Here is a 9322-nt window from a genome sequence, read left to right as displayed (position 1 = left end):
CATTCTTGCACTGTCATGATTTATGCAACCAAGTATTGCATTAGACAACAGCAATTAGGAACAGAAATGGACCCAGCAAGAGCCACAGAAACAATGTTGATTAACTCTGAATAGTGTATTAGTCTTCTATTGCTTCAAACAAATTACCACCTACAGTGAATTAAAACAAGACATTTATTACCTTCCAGTTCCGTGGATCAGGAGTCTGAGCACAGGTTAGCTGACTCCTCCGCTCAGGGTCTCACAAGGCTGCAATCAAGATATCAGCTATGCTGTAGTTCTTATCTGAGACTGGAGGTCCTCTACCAAGCTCATTCAGGTTATTGGCAAAATTCAATTATTTGGGGTTGTAGGAATGAGTTCCCCTTTGCCTGCTAGCTGCCTGCTGGGGACTATGCTCGGCTCACAGAGACCACTGACATTCCATGCCACGTAGTCCCCATAGGCTGCCATGGCAGGGATGTTTGATTTTCTCCAGGCTAGTGAGAGTGCACCTCTCTGACTTCTTCCCAGCACCAAGTGAAGAAAGCTCTCTGCTTTTAAAAGACTCACCTGAGGCTGGACGCAGTGGCTTACGCCGTAATCCCAGCACTTTGGGAGGCTGAGGCAGGTGGATCATCTGAGGTCAGGAGTTCCAGACCAGCCTGACCAACATGGTGAAACCTCATCTCTACAAAGAATACAAAAATTAGCCGGGCATGGTGGCAGGTGCCTGTAATCCCAGCTACTCAGGAGGCTGAGGCAGGAGAATCACTTGAACCCGAGAGGCAGAGGTTGCAGACCACTGTACTCCAGCCTGGGAAACAGAGTGAGATTCCGTCTCAAAAAAAAAAAAAAAAAAAGAAGAAGAAGAAAGACTCACCTGAAAGGTCAAGTCAACCCAAGATAATTTTCCTCACAAGAGTAATATGTCATTATATTCACAGGTTCCATTCACACTGAATAGAACTATACAGGGCATGTGCATCACGAGTAGGAATATAGGGGCTGTTTTAGAATTCTGTCTACCACAGGGCAGCTGATAATAATAGCAAACTATTGAGTGCTTATTTATTGCCAGCACTGTGTTAAGTGTTTTTTAGCATTTAATCTTTAAAATAATACAACATTGTTTCTATCTTGTGTTTCTGTTTTGTTTCTATTTCTATTACTTTATTTTACAGATGGAGAAACTAAGGCTTAGAGGTTAGGTGACTTTGCCCCATTTCACTCAATCGGTAAGAAGCATAACCTAGATTTTGAACTCTTTCTGACTCCAGAACCCATTCTTATCCACTTTGCCTCATCAAAGCTCGTTCTCCTGTAGCCAGGGGAATGAAGATTATCACTGTTTTATGGATGTAAACAGTGGTTTGGGAAGATTAAATAACATACTCAAGACCACCCAGTTAGTAAGTAATAGAGCAGCCTACAATCTAATCTTCTTCTCAGTCCCACACTGGGGCATCCCATGTAATTGAGGGATACTCCCAAATTGCTTGTCAACTAGAAGAAAATGTAATAAGAAACCCTTCCCCAGAGACAGAGGAAACCAATGTGTTTTCTGGCTCCAAGGCTTGGTAGAATTATATAATACACATTATCAGTTCTATTTATTTTACCTGTAGTGAGTGAGAAGCAGCAGTGTTTTATTCCCATGCTGAGGAAAATAATCTGAACTATGGGCACCTGACAATCACTCCCTTTGAAGTTTCATAATAGTTAGCACCAGGAGCATGTCCTCTCCTATGGTGATAAAAGGTTAGTTAGTGATTATTCACTTCCCCCTCTCTGTGCCTTTACACCTTTAAATGAAAGGTGTCCTGGAGTCAAAGCAAATAATTATTCACGGATGAGGATATGTTTCCTTGGAACTAACATTGTTTTTTTTTTCATTACTTCTTGCATGGAGACAAAACAGCTTTGACCCAGAGCTGTTAACTAATACAAATTATCCATTGCAAACGTCATCACATCACACTACCCCCACCTGTGCTTTGGCAACCAGGGGCCAATTTTCCCCTGAGAGTTGTGTCCACCTTGTTTCCCCTGTTCTTTCCCATGGCTACAAATGCAAACAGTAAACTTGGTCCACAGACAGACATTAAAAGGGCATATTGTAGTTGTCTCCAATACCTGATGTATAATCTCCCCTGTCCTGCAATTGTCTTTCACGCAAGAAACAGAAAACAGTCATCAGAAAAGTTTTACTTCATTAAAGTGCCCTGCCTGGTCATGATTTGGGTTATAACTGAATTCCTCTGTTAACAGCCACAGCTTCTGTTGGGCAGCTCCTGTCCCAGGGTTGTAGCTAGCCCCAGGCACCAGGAGGAACATTCCTTTCTCCTGCCCCCTCAGATGAGGGCTGGCGATAGCCGCCCACTGACACTAGCCCCTGGGAACTTCATGATCCCTAGATGGTTGCCTTAGCCCTGCCCATACCTGAGTAAATAGCTCTTTTATAAAAATATTCTTAAACCAGAAACTCTGGCTGAAAATTGCTCTAAACTGAAACCACCTTTGGAAAAATTCTAACAGTGAGAAATTGATGACATTGAAAGGGACCTAACCAACTCCATCTTGCCTTTAACCTTCAAGCTGCCCTTGTTCATTCCTGGGCATAGGCAAAACTAACTTTGGGAGGCATTTAGTTTATAGTTTAGAACTATTAAAACTAAAAAGATGACAACAGCCCTTTCCCAAAACAAACCTCCTTCTTGCCTGGGGACAAGACAGCCTTTGTGGGACTAACAAATTAATCACAAGATTAGAAATTATGGTTTAGAAGCCATGCAGCCAGAGGCCACAAGATTCCTAACCTCCCCAGTTGCTCTCCTATAGATAATGTTGTATCCTATAGATAATATTGTAGAACCTAAGATTGGTGCTTGAGATATTTTTCAGACCCTGAATTCTGATGGATAAGCTGGCACCACCCAGACTGGTAAACTGGCAGATCTGGTCCTGTGGCCTCTACCCAGGAATTGACTCAGTGCAAGAAGACAGCTTCAACTCCCTATAATTTCATCCTCAACCCAACCAACCAGCATTCCCCATTCCCTAGCCCCTTGTTCACCAAAATATCTTTAAAAACCTCTAGCCTCTGAATTTTTGGGCTGGCTGATTTGAGTAATAATAAAACTGCAGTCTTCCATTTAGCAAGCTTGAAGTGTATTTAACTCTTTTTCTATTGCAATTCCCCTATCTTGATAAATTGGCTCTATCTGGGCACCATGAAAAATGAACCCAGTGGGTGGTTACAAATGCCTTATTAAAAGTATTGACTTCAGCAACAAGTATAAACTGGTATTAAAGCATTAGCACATTGTTGAGGGGGAACTGAACATTTGTGCATTGCCCAGATAACACCACACAGATTACCTTGTAGTCACAGGAGGGAAAACATAATGTTTCTTGGAAGAAGAAAATTGTTGTTTGCCTTAATTCACTGGTCACTACTAGAATCTCTAACAGTGGGCGAACCAGAAAATATATATATCATGACAAAATACAATAAGAAGTACATATCTCCTATGATATAATCTAGCTAACAAGGTTTAAATTGAATCCACCATGCTTTTGCCTTTTACTTTCTCTTTTGTTTTGTTGTTTAAGAGATGAGGTCTCACTATATTGACCAGGCTGGTCTCGATCTCCTGGGCTCAAGTGATCCTCCTGCCTCAGCTCCCTAAAGTGCTGGGATTACAGGCAAGAGCCACCACGCCTGGCCACATTTGACTTTCAGTTTATAAGAAATAAGAAGGTCAGAGAAACAAGCTAAATGAACCCACAAGAAAGCAGCTTGTCAAATCCAGAAAATGGGTTGTTCCTTAGGCTAAATGGCCAAATTCATTTAACAAGCCTAATGTCATGTTTATGCTTGGAAAAGGGCTTAAGAAATATCCATGCAATGTGTAGGCCTGAATTGGTTCCTGATTGGACAAACGAACTACAAAAGACGTTTCGGGAATGATTTAGATCATCAGATATAGACTGGATATTAGGTAAAATATAGTGACATATATTGACATGGAAAGTTTTATAAAAACAGTATGTAACAATTCATAAAACGGTATTTTTCTCAGTTTGTAAAAAAAAGATATGTCTGCATATATATGCATGCCTAAAAATTTTGGAAGGATGTACAATAGGATATTAACAGTGGTATGCTCTGGATGGTGGGAATAGTGTATTTTTATTTTCTTATTTTTGTTTATCTATACATGGGCTGCTTTGTAATTATAAGAGGTTTTTAATTTAGTAAGCAGAAAGGTTATCAGTTTAAGTGTGTAAGTTTAATCAAAGCCAAGGGAGTAAATGACGTTGCCCAGGGAAGAGCATGTGAAAAACAAGAAGGTGGCTGAGGAAACAGCTTTTAGCAACATCAAGATTTCAGAGAGAAGACTGGAAGGAGAGCTGGTCAGAGACTGAGGAGGAGCCATGAGGGAACAGAAGAAGCAGGAAAGCCAGAGGAGGAGAGTGTTCCCAGAAACAGGAATGATCAGGTCCCAAACGCTGCAGACAGGTAGGCAGGATGAGGGTTAATTAACACTAGGCCTCTGACCTCACAGTGGGAAATGCATGAAGACTTTTACCCAGGGAGGGGTGAGGAACTACAGGCTGCTCTTGTAAGAAGTTGGTAATGGAGGGAAGGAGAGACACAGGTTGTTGTGGAGGGGGCAGGTGTGCCCATCTTTTCACAAGGAGAGCCGTCGCCATTCAGGTTGTATTCTTTGTGAATGAAAACCCCTGGATCACTACCAGGATATGCTATGAGTGGTACCCCCTGGGAGGAAATGAAAAGGAGGACCCTGGGAAGCACGAGGAGGAACAAGTTATTTGGAAATGGAGAAGAGTTTAGCAATTTGCAGTAAGTCCCAGGGAATGGAGAGATTTGGAAATCTAGGAGGAGAAGGAAGGATCACTTGTGCCACAGGATCCAGGCTTGTGCAGAGGTGGGAATGAGGTGGAGAGCAGAGGAAGCAGGATGGGGTTTGGGGAGGACTGAGACAGGTGTCCTGTGAATCAGAGGGCAAGGGGCCAGCCCCAGAACATGCCAGTCACGCTTCCATGGAAGCTGCCAGACTACAGTGATGATTAGCAATTATAAGTACACTTTGAAAGCAACTTTTCCAAGTGGAATGTGCTGCTATGGGGATTACTGTAGAGCCATACGTGCAGCTCTGAGATCATGTGAACCTCATACGTTACTGGGGAAGGGGATTGCCAACATGATGGGATTTAAGGGACAGCCAATGACCCGTCACCCCCAAACTATCTCCCGGGGGCTTTTCACAATGAGAAGCAATGGGATAACATGAATAGATAATGGAAGGTGTTGAGTCAGTGGATGAGTTTGCAGTCCATCTCTATTGTTATGTACCTTTTTTTGTACTTCAACGAATGCAAATCATGTACTTTTTGAACTTCAGTTTGACTTGCTTCCATGAACATTTACCAAATACCCACTGGGCAAAAATGGCACTGCCCTCAGTTCAGCCCAGGATGTTTCATTTGATCAAGAATCTATTTAGAGAAGGGGCTGGAATATTCTGGAGCTGTGCCTGCAATGAGAAAGATACAACAGTTCTCTGTGTGCCGGGAACAGAGAACTGCCTCCCCGACCCCGCCAAAAAAAAAAAAAAGCCCAATAGAAGAATGAAGGTGCCATGTTGACTGTGACAGTCCTCTTCACGCCGTCACTGAACGAAAGAGCCCCGGTGTCTTCTGTCTTTCTGTCCCATGGAGTTCTGCCTTGGTGCTGCAATCTGTTGCCTGTTGTCAGGGTCAGCAGGTCTCAGATGTGCACACAACCCTCCAAACCGGGGCTTCGAGGAGACCGCAGCTGTCTTCTGGGAGAGGAAGGGGCTGCTCAGGGTCGAGCAGCTCCTAGCGCATTAATTAGAGCCTGTATCCCAACTGCTGCACTTGCTGTGCCTGGCGGCTCTGGGACAAGCTGTTGGTAGGTTTTTTTTCTCTGCTGCCCGTTTCTAGGCACTCATCTTCCCAATTTATCTTTCAAGCAATACCTTGCCGGAGAGGAGTGGTATCCTCCATTCCCCTCACAGCTTTAGGAACTCCGAGGCTTTGTACAAATGTGTACGAAGTGTAGAGATTCCAGCCGACATGAGAGTGGGAAGGAACGCCGCAGTGGGAGAGATTGCAGGGCGGTGCTGGGCTATTAATTAATCAGCTCAGTGGGGATGAGGAAGGAAACGGTAACTCAGAGAGGGGCTCCAGAACTATAGCAAACAGGAAGATTTTAATGAGAAAGTCCCGGAGAGGAAATGACTCAGTGGTTTGGAAAGAGTGGGCTATCCAAACAGAGGGAAGGGAGCCAGTCCAAAGGGGGGCCCCTGAGGAGGGGCAGGACTTTGTTTGGTTCCTAAAACAGAAACCAGCTTCATTCTTCACTCGGGTTTGAGTAGGGGAATCCTTGGGGTGGGAGCAGCTGTTGCTACAAGATTGAGAAACATATCTTGACTTTTTCGGGCAGGGAAACTGAGACCACATGGTGAAGAATCTGTTTGGCGAAAGGGCTGGAAGATTCCGGGGCTGTGCCTGCAATGAGGGATATACAACAGTTCTCCCTATGCCTGGAACAGAGAACCTCCTCTCAAAAAAAAAAAAAAAAAAAAGCCAGACCAAAGAAGAACTAAGGTGAAGAATTTCCTGTGATCATGTTATGCTATGTGCATGCACAGCAGAGATGGAACACATTTTATATTTTCCAATTCAAAAATCAGGGCATGGCATTTAACAAAACATATTCTTTCCAGTTTCTGAATTTGTGTACATGCAATACCTTAAAATGATATGAAATGAAATTATACTTCGTCACAAATTGAAGTAAATGAATTTATTACAATTATAACATTGCATGAAATTGGAAGTGTCTTGGGAAATCTGGAATGAATGAACACTGTGTTTTCAACTGAAGCGTATCTGAGAAGAGCTGAGGAACAAAACTTTACAAATCATGAGTTTATTAGTTTCTTCCTGAATCAGTGGTTGAGGGAGGAGGAAAAAGGAGAGAACAAATTCCCTTCTGAGAGGTGGGGTCAGTGAGAGAGATGCCCTTGCAATGTATTTGAGTGTAAAGGATGAGGAAGCTGGGACCTTGGGGAACTGACCCCCTGATTTTCAACTCTGTGTCTCAGGAGAACCTCAGTTTCCTGATCTGCAAAGTGCACACAGAATTGCTATGAGCTGATATCCACTGGGTACCAGTGTCTGTCCCTGATGGGTCTTGCATGAATCTTTTCTTCCTTGACCCCATTTCAGGTGATGTATGCAAAGATGCTCCCACTTTTGCAAGGTGCCCTGTCACTGAAAACACCTTGCAATTTCGCTGGCATCTGGGGATGGAATAGACATGGGCATTTGGGCCTCCTTCAGAAGGGCAATGAGGCCAAGCCCCGTCAAACAGGACAAGCCAAGCTGCTGCTGGTCAGTGCCCCTGTGCACCAGTAATGGGCTGGGCCTTTTGCTGGCTGGAGAGGAAGCTCTAAACAGTCTGGAAGTAGAGAAATGTTTCTGTTGAACTAGGCTAGAGTGAGAGCTTGATAATTTTGGAAGAGTGAACATCAAGAGCAGTAAAGAGGGAAAAAATGTAAACACAAATGACCCGCGGAGCTCCCGGTACATTTTGTCTGCCCCGAAGAGCAGCCTTGGCAGGAAGACTGTGAGAACCTCAATCATGATCACGAGGACCTTCCCAGCCTTGGCTGATCCAGCAGTGGGCTCCTTTAGGGACTTAGAAGGGCATTTTATAAGCTACTCACCGAGGACCTCCTGCTAGGGGTAGGGCAGAGATTCTTGTCATTTCCACCTAAGCCCAGCTTTCAATGCTGTCAATTCTGGGTACCCTGGCTTCTTCTACAGAGGTCTCTGTCTTTTAAATTTTGTCACTTACACTACTTGCTTCAATGACTTTGAACTTGGCGTGCCGTTCTGTGGCTTTGCTGCTGTCTGAATCACATGCTTTTGCCTGCATTACCAAGCAGGGCTTGGAGCCCAGTCTCAGGAGGAGGTGGCCAATGCTTCCCATTCCAGTTACCAAGGCTAGCTGGGGGCTTGTATCATCACTAGCACACTCTCTTCCTCAAGTTCTCTTTTCTCATTCTAAATTAACCTTCAAAAAAGTTTCCAAGCGGGGTCTTGGGAGGAGTTCAAGTCAATTCAAATTAATGAGTATTTGAGAACCTACTATGTGGCCAGGCATGCTGTGGGATACCAGGGTGAGTCAAACCTTAGTTTGTACTCCCCTAGGCTTTGCATGCCTAGAGAGGAAACAGTGCCAACAGGCTGGGAGTACAGGCAGACTGATGGAATGGAAACAGTTCATTGTTCTCATATTCATTCAAAAAATGTTTATTGAGCACCCACTATGTGCGATGCACCTTTCAGTACCTTGGGGCTATAGCAAAGGGCACAATTATGGGATCTAAGATCAGACAGAATTGAGTCAAAGCCCAGCCTTTGACATGAGCGTGTTCTTGGGCAAGTCCCCTGAACACGCTGATCTCCAGATTTCTCATTTTTAAAATGTAAACCATAACATATTAATATTAATAATACTATTTTGCAGTGTTCTTGTGAAATCAAGATGTAGGTATGATAGGCATGCAATAAATGTGGCTGGTTGTTCTAAAATAGATGAACAACTATGTATAATGGTTGAATATGCAAGTGGAGAGGTAAAGAGAAATAATTTTAATTTTTGACTGAATGCATGGGCATGACAGAAAGAGAAATAAAGCTGCATACTGTCAGCCTTTGCCTGTGCTGTTTCCACATGTGCAGATTCAGCCAATCTTGGAAAATTGGAAAATATTTGAAAACATTTAAATAGCAATACAACAATAGAAAAAGGTACAACTAAAAATAATGCAGTATAACAACTATTTGCATAGCATTTACATTCTATTAGGGATTATAAGTAATCTAGAGATTATTTGAAGTATACAAGAAGATATGTGTAGGTTATATGCAAATACTATGCCATTTTATGTAAGGGACTTGAGCATCTGTGGAATTTGGCATCTGTGGGGGTCCTGGAGCTGATCCACTTCAGATACTGAGGGAGAACTGTATAGACAGGTGGCATTCTAGACCAGGGTATGCCTAAAGCAGTGTTCCTCAAGGTTCCAGGAGTTTTCTAAAAGAATGATGTAATTTTTCATTTTAAAACTAGACTTTGATGATTATCTCATCTACATAGATGCATACACAGTTGACCCTTGAACCACATGGATTTGAACTGTGCAGATTTATTTATATATATATTTTCTTCTGCCTCGACCACCCCTCAGACAGCAAGACCAACCCCTCCTTTCCTTCT

The 9322-nt window shown here is 43.2% G+C and overlaps 1 long non-coding RNA gene across 1 annotated transcript, besides 1 other annotated feature; it reads left to right on the top strand.

Annotated features, from left to right (window-relative positions):
- Window positions 1445–2100: an enhancer, noted in NCBI's record as "NANOG hESC enhancer chr1:184126016-184126671 (GRCh37/hg19 assembly coordinates)". NCBI's record gives its function as "activates a minimal SCP1, AML or CMV promoter by ChIP-STARR-seq in naive H9 embryonic stem cells {active_cell/tissue: H9 hESC(naive)}" and the evidence as "EXISTENCE:reporter gene assay evidence [ECO:0000049][PMID:30033119]".
- LOC124904466 (uncharacterized) lies at window positions 5266–8628 on the top strand. The gene is made up of 2 exons (XR_007066765.1): window positions 5266–5941; window positions 6476–8628. It is a non-coding gene; the product is annotated as an uncharacterized LOC124904466 (long non-coding RNA).
- Window positions 8629–9322: the final 694 nt, after the last annotated feature.

Source organism: Homo sapiens, chromosome 1 (genome assembly GCF_000001405.40).
Source record: "Homo sapiens chromosome 1, GRCh38.p14 Primary Assembly".
NCBI classification, from domain to species: Eukaryota; Metazoa; Chordata; class Mammalia; order Primates; family Hominidae; genus Homo; species Homo sapiens.
Note: the sequence above shows the minus strand (reverse complement) of the source record. Positions and strands in the feature narration are given on the sequence as shown.